General features: G+C 47.2%; 1 protein-coding gene across 10 annotated transcripts in view, besides 2 other annotated features; it reads left to right on the forward strand.

Moving 5' to 3' along the window:
* EVL (Enah/Vasp-like) overlaps nucleotides 1-14,174 on the forward strand; it is a 172,815-nt gene that overhangs the window by 98,312 nt on the left and 60,329 nt on the right. The window lies entirely within an intron of this gene.
* Nucleotides 2,953-3,102: an enhancer, noted in NCBI's record as "active region_9021". NCBI's record gives its function as "activates an Ori minimal core promoter by ATAC-STARR-seq in GM12878 lymphoblastoid cells {active_cell/tissue: GM12878}" and the evidence as "EXISTENCE:reporter gene assay evidence [ECO:0000049][PMID:35858748]".
* Nucleotides 3,113-3,402: an enhancer, noted in NCBI's record as "active region_9022". NCBI's record gives its function as "activates an Ori minimal core promoter by ATAC-STARR-seq in GM12878 lymphoblastoid cells {active_cell/tissue: GM12878}" and the evidence as "EXISTENCE:reporter gene assay evidence [ECO:0000049][PMID:35858748]".

Genomic DNA, 14,174 nt, shown 5'->3' on the forward strand with positions numbered 1-14,174 from the left:
GGCTGGGGCAGAAAATGGATGAGAACTAGTGTAGTCCAATGGCTTTGCTTTGGTAACTGAACCCACAGAGGAGGAAAATAACAACAGCTCAGCTTTTCTCAGTGTTATACACCAACCATTACGCTAGTTACATGATATACATACTATTTAATTCTCATCCTTTGAGGTCTGGTATCACTATTGCCACTTTACAGATAAGAAAACAAGGGTTGGCCGGGTATGGTGGCTCACTCCTGTAATCCCAACACTTTGAGAGGCCAACGCAGGTAGATCACCTGAGCTGAGGAGTTCAAGACCAGCCTAGGCATCATAGTAAGACCTCCTCTCTTAAAAAAAAAAAAAAAAAGAAAGAAAGAAAATAAAATTAAAAAATGAAAATTAGCCAGATGTGATAGTGCATGCCTGAAGCCTATAGTCCCAACTTCTCAGGAGGCTGAGGTGGGAGGATTGCTTGAGCCCAGCAGTTCAAGCCTGCAGTGAGCTGTGATCACACTACTGCACTCCACCCTGGTGACAGAGCAAGACCCTACCTCAAAAAGAAAAGAAAACAAGGGCCTACAAAGTATCGTATTCCAGGTCACATTGTTGTCACTTGACGGAGCTTTTGATCTCTGAGAGGATCAAAATCTGCCCTCTCAGCTTTAACTTCTCAAAGCTAAACTTGTCCCAATTTGCAGAGTCAAGGGTAGAATCGAGGCCCTCCTGATCTCTATTTTGCAGTCTCCGTCATTCTGTGCTGTTAATACCACAAGAGACAAAAGAGACCTCGTCTGTCCTGTAGCACCCCGTGCCTGCGTGCGTATCTCTTGTCGATGCTCTGTCGGCTCAGGATCTCTCCTACCAGCCTAGAGCTCTTTCAGAGCAGGACGCTTGTGTTATGCATTCATGTTTGTCCCTGTGCCTAGTAAATAGCACAGAGTCCAAGTGGCTACTTGTGTCTTCAGGGGTGTTTGTAAGGGCAGAGCCGGGGTCTTCATTCCCAGGCTGTTGATTCATCCTTGGAGCTGAACATACTGTCCCAATCCTTGGCCCAAGCCAGGCCTCTACAGTTGTCCCAAGGCTGTGCTAAAACCTGTTCCACTTCACAAGTGATCAGAGTCACAGACTCTGGGGACACAAATTTTGAGATGAAGACACAGAGCAAAATATATAAATGTTTTTGAGGTTTGAGTAGCCTTAACGTCCACGTGGCTGTCAGATGGCTCCCCAAAGAAAGGGCTACGCCGGTGGCCTTGAAAGAGTATGGGAGATGCATATGAGACAGGGTCAGTCTAGGAATGTCAGACTCCCCCAACAGTTGGTTGGAGTGTTTTTCCAGATTGCACCAGACTTCACAGAGTAATGGAGACCAGCTGTCCAGGCATCTGAGAGGGTGACATCCAAGGAGAAAAGGCAAACGTCTTGATTGCCCATGATGTGGGCAACCAATTTGGATAGAAAAGAAGGTGTCAGGGTTTAACACTGAATGTAGACTTTATTTACCCAAAGCCTTTCTTTAATTCTAACACTCTCAAAAATGGGGCTCAGTCACCATTTGGGTTTCCCATGTTAATATGCAGAGAGCTAATTCATTGTCTTTCATTGCTGTAATGCAGCAGTTCTCAAAATGTACTCCAGAGATTGACCCTCCTAGGAGTCTGTAGATCAGAACTGTATTTATAATATTACTAAGACATCATTTGCCATTTCAGCTCTTGTCTCATGAATTCATGGTGGAATTTTCCAGAGCTATGTGATGTTTTGACATCATCACTGTGGCAGCTAATGAAATGTCTGCTTGTATATTCTTGTGTTTTAAAAAATTATTAGTTTTAATTTCAAATAAGGTGAATATGGATAGACTTAACCTACATAAAACAGAAGCTTTTTGGCATCCTCAATAATTGAGTGTAAAGGGGTTCTCTTGACCAAAAAAGTTTGAGAACTATGTGTGTAAAATAGTCAGTTGTATGGCTGCACTACAGACAGCAAGCATGGAATTGAAAATACCACCTGCAAGGTGGCGGTTCCCCCTGGTAGAGAGGAGGGGCTCTGGGTCTGGGAGGAGGATGCAGGCGTCACTTGAACTAAACAGCTTTATGACTTGCTGTCAGATTTCCTAGACTGTGTGGTGGGATCGTGGGAACCTACTTCTCACAGGCCTGAAGTACTTCACAATAAACATTTTAAGTCTACTTCATAGCATGAAACCTGTTTCACACCTGTGCCCATTAAGAAAAAAAAATGGCACCCTATAAATGATTTAATAATTACTAAGGGGAAAATATAGCTTTCCATTGGAGATCTGGCAGTCACCTCTTAACCAACCTACAGTCTACATTCAGTTGGCCTGAATTCTTCACACACACAACATCTTTATCAATGAAAAATTTTTAAATAGTTTCACATCCTAGCTTAGCTTGAAAGGGAGTAAGCAGACGGCTCGATCAAATGTAATCCATGAGCAGATCCTACATCCCAAAAAATCAGAAACATTTTGTAAAAATTGGGTAACTTTTTTGTTGTTGTTGCATCGGAGTCTCCCTCTGTCGCTCAGGCTGGAGTGCATTGGAGCTATCTCCGCTCAGTGCATCCTACACCTCCCTGTGCCTCCTGGGTTCAAGCAGTTCTCCTGCCTCAGCCTCCCGAGTAGCTGGGACTACAGGCATGCGCCACTACACCTGGCTAATTTTTGTATTTTTAGTAGAGATGGGGTTTCACTATGTTGGCCAGGCTGATCTCGAACTCCTGATCTCAGGTGATCCACCTGCTTTGGCCTCCCAAAGTGCTGGGATTACATGGGTAAGTTTTAGTATGGACTCTGTATTAGATTTTTAGTAAAGTGTTGATTTTCTTTGTTGTAACAATGGTATTTAAGTTATATATTAGAATATCCTTATATTAAAGAAATGTATGCTCAGGTCCCTAGGACTGAAGTATCATGGTATCTGCAGCTGACTTTCAAATGGCTCAGGGGAAAGACAGAGATAACTCACATGTGGCAAATGTTAACCATGGGCAGGTTTAGTGAAAGGTAAAAGAGTGTCCCTTACATGTTCCTGTAGGTTTGAAATTTTTCAGATTAAAAAGTTGGAGTGAAAAACAGCTTCAAAGCAGGAAGTAAAAGTTGGAGCTGGGTTTTGCTGCGTCGCCAGGTGGAGCAGAAGAGCCTTACTGCACGGCGGAGCGTCAGGTTGCTGTCTAGTCCAGGCTCTGCCGCGGATCAGCCATGGGCGTTGGGCAGGTTACTTCCCTCTCCAGGCGTGTTTCCTAAGAAAATCACTGCAGAATGTTTTTCAGTTCTGATGCGGCTGTGATTTCAAGCGTCTCTGTTTCTCGGTCACTGAATTGGGACATGGCAACGTGGGTGTGCTTCCTCATTCACCTGGGTAGGTGTTGAGAAGTGATGAGGCCCCAGGGTGATGACTGAGGTCCCCCCACCCACCACTCTGCCTTTGCTGACACTCTTCCCTCTGCTTGAAATGGTTCTTTGTTTCCTCTTGAAAAGTCTTGCTTCCCCTTCATGACAACATCCCTTGGGTCCCCTGGGCAGAACTAAATGCCCTCCTCTTGTGACACTTTGCACGTACAGCACTTTTTCCTTTTTCTTTTTTTTTTTTTTTTGGGGAGACAGGGTCTTGCTCTGTCACCCAGGATGGAGTGCAGTGGTGCAAACACGGTTCACTGCAACCTTAACCTCCTCAGCTCAAGGGATCCTTCCACCTCAGGCTTCTGAGCAGCTGGGGCTACAGGCACCCACCACCATGCGTGGCTAACACTTTTTTATTTTGTGTAGAGACAGGATCTGTGTTGCCCAGGCTGGTCTCGAACTCCTGGGCTCAAGCTGTCCTCCCACCTTGGCCTCCCAAAGTGCTGGGATTACAGGTGTGAGCCACTGTGCCCGGCCCTTGTTTTATTTTTCAAATAAATGCAGGAAGAAAGAAAGAGAAAGCAGAGGTGGCCAGATCTCAAGTAAGTCATGCCACCCCCACCACAAAAATCCGTGGAGGCTGAGAAATACAATACCTGGCAAAACTCAGCAAACATAAAAGCCAGCAGTTATTCAAAGATATTTGTTGAGAAACCACTAGGGCCCAGTTACTAGAGCTACCGAGATGAACACTACTTTAAAAACCAAACCAAACAACCTGCCTCATGGAGGCACTTGCCCCTCAGTTCAGTGGCAAGTATGGTAAGTGTTCTGCAGAAAAGCTAAGCAGCTGAGGGGAGCGGCAGGGGCCCGAGGGTGTGCATTAGCATTCTCTTCAGTGGGTTCAGGGAGTCACCCCCGGGGGCGGTGGGGGCGGGGGGTCGGGGAGCAGTGTGAGTAGAGGCTAGAGGAAAGCACAGGAGCAAATCAGGGCCCGGAAACTGATTTCCCAACAGCCAGGGCTCAGGAGCGGGCCCTCAGTGACCTCCACAGTTGATCTGGGCCATTCCACAGACAGGACCCGACAGCCTGCTCCCACTTGGTGAGGCCTGAGGCAATTCTCCAGGCCACAGTGAGGAACCTGCCACCTTGTTTTTCTCGTTAGAAGTTAAAAGAGTAGTAGGTGATAATGACAGCTCTCCATGTGGACACGGAAGGCAGTTTCATGTAGATTCCACCCTAAGTCTTGCCTCATATGGATTTGCTGTTCATTCCAGCCAACATTGTCCTTTTTCAAGATAGTATCTGCTGGGTGCTAATCATGTTTAGTAAACTGCTCTCCTGTTTATTTCATCAGCCTTATTTGATCTCCAGCAAAGGTAAAAGAAAATGCAAAAAGATGATTCTACTTGTTTTACAGAGCTGTAAACTTACCTCCCTGAAGTCTTGTTGCTGGCAAACAATAGAGCCAGACCTGGGGCAGAGCTGGAGCTGTTGTCCACAGTGTTCTCACTTCCCCGCGCTGACTCCATGGTGAGGGCTGGCCTTAACTCTCTGTACCCAGCCTTGCTTCCCAGCACAGCACTGCTTCCTGGTGGGCACCAGCCAGCCAGACTTTCTCTAAAGTACTCTCTCTCTGTCTGCCCCTCTCCACCTTGGGAAAGACAGTGGTCAGAAAAGGGGCAGTCCAGAGAAGAGCCAAGCCATGCGGTGTCATGGCAGCCAAGGGAGAAGTTTCACACAGGAGGCGAGGAGGGCAAGAAGGAGGGCAAGAAGTCTGTGGCAAGAGCAGAATGGCGAGGCTGGGGCAGGCTGAGGGGAGACAGGGTGGGGCTGCCTGTGGGCAGAGGGGAGTTCATAGTGTGAGAGAGTTCTCCGAGAGCTGGAAGGAGAGGCCTCCAGATGGCAGGAGGCAGGGTCCTGTCCAGCAGTGTCTCTGACTTGACTCCCTGTGTGACTTGGGGGAGCCACACAATGAGAAGTGGGAATAAATGTGATAATGACCTCGTGATGGTGGTTTGAGCATTGTGTGAAGTCAGGTGAAGATGTCACCTATGTTACCAGAGCCAAGCTGCATGGCTGCAGGGGCTCTTCTGAACTAGCAAGTGATGTGCTTCAGAGAGAGACTGGAATTTGGCAAAGGAGAAAGCCCCTGTCTCCTCCTGTGTGCCGGGCCTTGTCTTGGGGCTCTGTGGGTAGACCCCAGCTCTGCTCTGCACTGGAGTGCCCAGACAGGTCTGTGTGAGCACCTCAGTGTGGGCTGCTCCGCTCCCATCCAGGAGGCTCCTTACTGATGGTTCTCAGCCCAGCTTTTAAGATTCACTTTTGTTGCTTGTATGTTGAAGGTAAACAAGTCAGGACTTTACAAACTGCCTCAGTCTGGCTGTGTTTCTGCCTAGCTTTGGGAACATTTATTTATGGCCACTTCTCTCTAGCCCCCGACCCTTCACTACTCACCCCTTATTAACACACTTGGCAGCTGCAGAGCCCGGGCCAGAGGCACCAGGCTACACTGAGGACGATGGCTCACTGAGGAAGGGTATCTGAACTCAGACATGGGCCTGTTCTCCAGAAGCCCACAGTCTCAGGAAGAAGATAGTTTGAAGTGGCTGTCCTGACGGCTTGAAAGTAATCAGAGGCACGTGGCACCTTGGGGTGGGGTTTGGGGGGCAGAGACATATACCTACTGAGCGTAAGGAATGTACCCAGCATGGTACTGGTCACCCTCATGTCTTGCCTGTTAATCACCATAGAAGTAGACCATGCTATTTTTATCAGCTCCGGTTTACAGACAATAACTCCTCCTACAAAGCCTGATGTTCTCCCTTCCCATTCTCATACACCCATTTTGCAGTGATCTGTTTTTCTTGATAGATTGTAATCTCCTTCAGAGCTGAGCCATATGCCTGTTAGTAGTTATTAAATGAATGGGAATGGGTGGATAGGTGTGTTTTGAAAGCAATGACAATGTGAGCTTTGAGAAAAGGTAAGATTCAAACCTCTGGATGTAGGAAAAAGAAATCATCTTGGGCAGGAGAAATATCTCTTCCTAATTACTTGAGGAGTAGCAGAAAAGACATCTTAATTGGCCCAATGTCATGGGGATGCTTTCGCTGCCATTCCTGGCTTTACCACCAGGCTGCTGGTTGGGCTATGTGATCAGACGGGTCCTTCCTCGCTGAAATGTGCTGGGCCGTTTGTGGGCAGCCTCAGGTCCAGCAGAGCAAGAAGGGAAGTTCCCTGGGACCAGCAGAGTCATCTACACTGTGGTCTTGGACCTCTAGAGGGCAACAGATAGGAAGAGAACTGTGGCCTAAGTCCTCACTCTACATAGGGAGAAGTCTGCCTAAAAGAAATGGCCCCTGCCCTGGAGGCGTTCAGTGGTGTGCAGAGGGACCTAGCATAGACATTGCTGCAGTAAGTGCTGTGATGGTAGGCACAGGACCATGATAATAGGGATAATAAGGCTCAGAGAAGGACCATCTAACTCAGCCTGGGGCTTCAGGGAAGATTTTCTAAAAGAGGTAACAGATATTCCAAGTCTTTATGGATGAGTACAAATTAGTGGGTCGGCTTGGGTCAGCTCGGCTCGGCTGAGAAAAGTATCCCAGGCAGAGGAAGTGGCCTGAGCCACAGCAGAGGCCACAGAGTGCGGGGGGTGGAGTGTTAGGGGCCTGTGTGCATTTCCACAAGACTAAGCCAAGGGTTGGGTCGGCTGTGGACACTTTGGCAAGGGCTACAATGTGAAGGCCCCTGAGTTGCCTGCCCCAGAGCTGGGATTATATTGCGTAATAACGATGACTCCCTTCCTCATGCCACATGGGGTCAGGTGCTGCTCCAAGTGCTTACACATGTTAAGTCTTAATTCTCCAGACAACCCTATAAAGAAGATGAGGAAAGAGGAAAGATATGGGTAGATAAAGGAGGATAAGCTATAGATAGATAAACTGGGGAACACAGAAGTTTTGTATGAGGTCATATAGCTGGTAAGTGGCAGAGCTCCCAATGAGGGAAGAGGCTCAGTCAGTTTGCCTTTGAGGAAGGTCTCTCTGGTGACATTGCAATTGAAGGGTTGGGGGTGTGAGACTTCAACCAGAGGCGGGGGAACAGCTAGGAGGCTGTGGTCTAAAATAAATAACAAGGGCTGGGACTGGCAGCAAGGAGGGAGAGAAAGGGCCAGATCCAAAAGATGTTTAAGAAATAGAACAGATGGCCATTGGGCCATGGAGGGTGAAGCACAAAAAAGCATCTGAAATGGCCTTCAGGTTTCAGACTCAGGGGACTGGGTAGGTGTTGCTTCCATTCCTTGAAATGGGAAACAGTGAAAAGAATACTTTCTCTCTTAAGCATGTTAAATTGTGAGGTCTCTAAGTTATGTCCAACAGTTAGAAATATGGCTCCACATTTTAGAAGAAAGGACAGGACTGGAGAGCCATCGACATGGGATTTATCAGTGTATTGGTGCTCGTGTAAACCCTGGCATGGATGACAGAGCCCATGAGGAGACGTGAAAGCGAATGGTCCTCAAAGTTTCCTTCATGGACCATTTGCCTAGAACCAGCAAACGTGTGTTACAGTAGAGACCCCGCCCCGCCTGAGACTTACCACATCAGAATCTCCTAAATGGGGGCCTAGGGATTTGTGTTTTAATAAACACTCACCTGACTCTTACAGTGCATACAGTTTTTTTGTTTGTTTTTGTTTTTTTGAGATGGAGTCTGGCTCTGTCGCCCAGGCTAGAGTGCAATGGCGCAATCTCGGCTCACTGCAAGCTCTGCCTCCCGGGTTCACGCCATTCTCCTGCCTCAGCCTCCGGAGTAGCTGGGACTACAAGCACCCGCCACCATGCCCGGCTAATTTTTTTTTGTATTTTTAGTAGAGATGGGGTTTCACCGGTTAGCCAGGATGGTCTCGATCTCCTGACCTCGTGATCCGCCCGCCTTGGCCTCCCAAAGTGCTGGGATTACAGGCGTGAGCCACTGCGCCCGGCCATGCATACAATTTTGAGGATCATGAGCATAGAGTAAAATGAGAAGAAATTCCACATAGTTCACGTTGGTTTTAAAATCTGTTTTGGAGAGCAAACCCATTTAAGAACATGGTAAATGCATTTCTAGAAGCAGCATGCACGCACACTTTTGCAGATAATTTTGGAGGTTTCTCAGACTCTTCAAGCCTTTCCCTGGACCCGGGATTAAAAACACTTGACATAAAAGATAAGTAGAAAGGAAACCTGTGAAGGAGGCTGAGCAGGAATCACAGAGAGCGAAGTGGAATGCCAGGAGAATTGGAAGGCTGGGGATTAAGGAGGAGAGGTTTTCAGAATGAGGACATAGCAGTGCCTGGCTCACTAATGGGCCCAGTGACTCGAGAGCCGGAAAGCACACATTGGAGCTGGAAGTGGAAAGGCAGTAACCTTGTCTGGGCTTATTTAAGTGTATTCTCAGGGCCAGGGGCCAGGTTCCAATGGGGGCTTGGAGAGTGACGGCAGGGTGGGGGTGGGGCAGGGTAAGGAAATGGAGAGAGCAAGTGACAAGACGAGCTGGGTGGGGAACAGCAGGAAGTAGGGAGTGAAGTCCAGTCGTATCAGCTGGCGGGGTGCTTGTTAGGTGCCCACCCTTGTGATGGTTATGTGGTGAAAGATAAAGGAGTTCCCAGCAGGGCAGCTCACTCACCCTGGTTTGCCCGGGATTATCCCAGTTTTAGTGCCGAATGCCTACCTCCTAGGAAACCCTTCTGTTATGGGCAAATGCTGGTTCACAGTCCTACTGGGAAGAAAAAATTGGCCCTCAAGACAGAGTATGAAGAGTTGTTCTGTCCAAAAGGAGCTCCCAAGTCTGAGCATTAAGGCTGAGCAGGACCACCATGCCAGTCCCAGGGAGAGAGAGTGAGGCCTTGGCCGCCTGCTTTCCAGGAAGGAGGAGTGTGGCTCCTAGGCTGACACTCCAGAGGAGCAGAAGAGGGCAGCCTGTACCTTCCCAGAGGCCTCCCTCTGGAGGAGCGGGTCTTTCTCCGCAGGCCTGGGCCCAGGCAGAGCTGAGATGCACCTTTAGAGGCAGCAGACAGGGCTGAGCCTCGCTTTGCACAGGAGCCCACCCGCAGAGCTGTGGTTTCCTGACTCGCCCATCCCAGGCTGTTGTGAGAGAGAAGGCTGATGGTAATCTGTGACAGATGCTTTTGCTTGGCAGTTACACTTTTTCTGAGAATAAATGGAGAGGATTGTGAGTAGAATGTTCCCACGGGCACACAATCATAAATGCACTGTTTTTCCCACAGTCAGGGTCATTTGTTTAACAATTATTCATGTCTACAGCATACAGGGACTGGCTTTACCAAGGGGAAAACAAAACAGTTCCTGCCTTCAAGGAGCTCACAGGCTGGTGGTGCAGACACCTCAGCAGATTCGGAGAGGCAGGACAAACTGAAAAGCGCTCTGGCAGAGGGAGAAGCAAGCATGGGGCTGCAGGAGCCAGCCTCTCTCTGGACAGGTCTACATCCTGTGCTTTTTCCAAGTTCAACCCTGCACTCACATTTCCCAAAAAACCTCTTGTGGTTAGCCTCGTTCCTCCCTGTGGACCTTCCTTTTTCCCTTACTTTATGAATTTACACTCTGTCCTTCAAGGAAATAACAGGGCTAGGATGGCGTGTCTGTGTAAGCCCATGAGAATTTCAGAAACCTTGTTCCCAGCCACACAGGGAGTGGGGGAGCAAGAGTCCAGGGGCACAGAGCCTGAACTTTTCCAGAAGGATTAGAGAGTGACAGCCCGAGATTGACTTCGGGCTGTCATCACGGAGGGCCGTGCTGCAAGATTTTTTCTGCATCCTCCTGAGTAGCTGGGACTACAGGCATGTTCCATCACACCCAGCTGCCTATGTAATAGTTTTATCTTGAAATGCATTACTGATTTCCTACATCAGGTCCTGGAAGGTCTATGATTAGGTTTCAGAACTACATGCAGAAAATTTGGGATGTGTTTTGCTTTTTTTTTTTTTTCTCTTCAGTGAGAGATTTCAACAGACATTCAAAAATGGTCTATGATATACAGCAGGGGTGTCCGATCTTTTGGCTTCCCTGGGCCACATTGGAAGAATTGTCTTGGGCCACACATAAAATACACTAACATTAACAATAGCTGATGAGCTTTTAAAAAAATCTCATAATATTTTAAGAAAGTTTACAAATTTGGGCTGCATTCAAAGCTGTCCTGGGCCACATGCGGCCCACAGCTTGGACAGGCTTGGTGTATGATCTAAAAAAATTAACTGCTGAAGCAGCGACAGGACAAAGATTGTGGCTTTTCCCATCTTCCCTGCTGTGCCCTGCCCCATGCTGGGCTCATGGACAGAGCTCAGCGAGTACTCAGCGCTTGTCTGAGGGAGCTCTTGAGGTCAGACTCACCTTGTACAGATGAGGAAACTGAGGCCTAGAGTCACATGGTCTTTCTCCTATAAGTGATAGAAGTGCAGTCTGAAGCTTTAAGAGTTTAGGTCTTGCATGACACACGGAGGGAAATTACAGGTGCAGATTATATGGGCCCCACAAATACATGTACGAAGGCCCAAAATGACAGGGGAATTGGACTGCTTGTTTGAAAAGAGCCTTCCCCCAAGAGAGAAATTCTAGTTATACCTACAGCTCAGAGATGCCTGTTAGATCCCAGGGGGGAAAGAAGTCCACCAACCTGGTAACTTAACACCATGCAGAACAAACCAGTGTGTTTTGACTGATTTCACTCCCCAACTAATCAACAGATTGTTTTGATCATATAAAAGAAGCCTGTGAGACTTGAAGACCTCATGGGAACCATTTAGTAAATGAAATTTCATATGTATATGTTTTTTAAAAAGTTCATTCATTTATTCAATAAATAATTTAAGAAAATATTTGCCTATCAAATTTCCTTATAGCTAGGCACGGTGGCTCATGCCAGTAATCCCAGCACTTCGAGAGACCAAAGAGACCAAGATGGGAGGATCACTTGAGCCCAGGAGTTTGAGATCAGTCTGGGCAACATAGCGAAACCCTGTCTCTACAATAACAATAATAATAATACAAAATTAGATTTCCTCAAGGGATAGATGATTTGGACAAATTAAATTTATGATGCCTAGGGAGGGTGTGTATGATACAGAGTTTGAGTATTTATCCAGGTGAAGATGTCGAGAAGGCAAGTCAATATATATTGCTCAGAGGCAATGTCGAGGTTAGATAGCAATCGAGATTTTATTAAAACAAAAAATTTCAAAGGTATAATAAGCCCAAATTAGCAAAACAAATCTTAAGTAGAATAAATGTGTGTATTTTCTTGCATTTAGGTTTTGTTAGTAGCAATAAAATAAGAGACAAACCAATACTATTCAAAGGGTGGGGGGAAACCAGGGGTTTTGGTTAACCACAAGTTTAATTTGAACCTAAAGTATTAACAACAGCAAAAAAAAAAAAAAAAAAGGAACCTGTAGCTATAATTACAAGAAGAAAAATGGTTATTGGTCTTCAGGCATCTAGTGGCAAGCACAGTGCTTTATTTATGCCATCTCTGTAACTCCCCTAAAAGGTGTGTGTGATACCCCAGGTATGCTTCACCCCCACCTAGTGCTAGCGGTTCTCTACGTGCCGTGCAGTTCTTTACTCCCTGCCTCTGCTCAGCTGCCTGTCTCTTCCTCCTAGAACCCCACATCCCCTTCCTGAATTCATCTTAAAACCCACACAGCGTTTGCTTCAGAAAGCCTCCCCAGGCCTGGCGCAGTGGCTCACGCCTGTAATCCCAGCACTTTGGGAGTCCAAGGCGGGCAGATTGCTTGAGGCTGGGAGTTCAAGACCAGCCTGGGCAACATGGTAAAACCCTGTCTCTACTAAAATTTAAAACCCTGTCTCTGCTAGAATTTAAAAGATTAGCCAGGCGTGGTGGTATGTGCCTGTAGTCCCAGCTTCATGGGAGGCTGAAGCACAAGAATCGCCTGAACCTGGGAGGCGGAGGTTGCAGTGAGCCAAGATCGCGCCACTGAGCTCCAGCCTGGGCAACAGAGTGAGACTCCGTCTCAAAAAAATAAATAAATAAAAATTTAAAAGAAGAAAGCCTCCCCTGTCCCCCCCTCCCCCGCATCCCTCCAGGCTGGATAAGGTTTATAATTACTCATCTGACTGCCTTACTAGCTGTGAGCTCACTGAGGGCAGGTACTGTTCTACCCATCTCTCTTTCATTAATGTTTTTTGACTCACTACCATCTACTGGTCAGACTAAGCCTGGAATATTGTGCCCAGTTTTAGGACCCAGACTGATTAGTTACTGGGATGGCGAGGGGACTGGTAGCTTTGTCGTGTGGCTGATGGAAGGAAGCGCTCTTCCTTCAGCTATCCGGTGGGTTGTCACAGGCTCTGCAGAGCACCCTGTGTGACTCTGGAGAGAAGCGAGTGGCATGTCACTCAGAACAAGGAGGGGTTGTCTAAATTAAAACCATTTACAACCAACGGGTTGCTTTGGAGAGTAGTAAGTTAAGTTTCCCATCACCCAAAGCTCAGTGTGGACTTGTGAGGGCAGCTTCATTGGACACAAAAGTGGATTAGTGTCTATAGTTCTTTTCAGCTCTGAGATTATTTAGTGAGCATTTATTAGGCACCTGCTCTGTGCCAGGTTCTGACACAGGTCAAAAGTCTGCGAAAGGAGAAAGGCCAGGAAGGATGGACTAGAAGCATCTCAGACCACATCACAGTGCTGAGAACATTTGGGCCAGGCTGATAGGGTGTCCCCAAACCAAGGCTTCCCCCACAGAAGAGTCCTGTGTTGGGCAGGAATGGGCTGGCACTGGTGCCCCTGCCACATTCAGTCAGCGGCTGGGAGCAGCATGGCCTCTGTGCACCAGCTCTGCTCCCATAGCAGGTTCTCCTGCAGGGGAACTGAAGGGCGTGCTTCCATGGCTGCCACACAGGGACTCTAGAAAGCATTGCCCCTCACACAGCACCTTCCCAGAGTGCTCCCCCAGAATCATCTCAAGGGCTCTGTGGTCACCTTCCAGCAAATGGTAGAGCTGGGCACCAACTCAGATCCCTCTGATTTAATAAAACCCATGTTTTGTTAACCAAGACCATGCTGCATCTCAGGATCTCTCCTAGCTCCTGAGACAGCATCCAGAACACACACCTACTTGTCGACTGTCACAGTTAGCAACTGAGTGTACCAGAAGCAGTAAGTGCCAGAATTCAGCCCATCACTTGATTTATGGTTCATTTACATTGGGATAGAACTGTGATTTGACCCAACGTCTGTCTGGTTCTGTGTACAGTTTACTCTATCTTTTTTTTCTGGAGACAGTCTTACACTGTCACCCAGGCTGGAGTGCGGTGGCACAATCACAATTCCCTCTTTAAAAAAAAAAAAGAAATAAACGAGTATTGCTTTTTTAAATTTGGGAATTCTAATATGCTAGAGAAGATGTTAAAGATTATTAGGTTTATGAAGAGCCAGTGGGCTCCGAGAGACTTCCCCTGAATACCGTGGCAGGAGTTTTAGTGTATTAATTTTAGTAATGACTATTTTATCCTTTCAGGGGCTTCTCCCCTGCTTCTCTGTCATACTTTGAACAAATGAGGTTGCTTTACTACGTAAATGTCTTCAGCAAAGTATGGTGCAGCCATCTATTTATTTTGATTTATGTTGCATTTTTCTTTAGATCACCAAAATACTTCATTGCCTACATAGCTTATCTGATGCTACCCTAGCATAATACCATAAATGAAGCATTTTGTTGGATGTTGCAAAGAATATTATCTATGTCATATGCTCTAGAGTCAGACAGAAGTGGTTGGAAATCCCCAGTGTAATCACTG

The sequence above is a fragment of the Homo sapiens genome, chromosome 14 (assembly GCF_000001405.40).
Source record: "Homo sapiens chromosome 14, GRCh38.p14 Primary Assembly".
Lineage (NCBI taxonomy): Eukaryota > Metazoa > Chordata > Mammalia > Primates > Hominidae > Homo > Homo sapiens.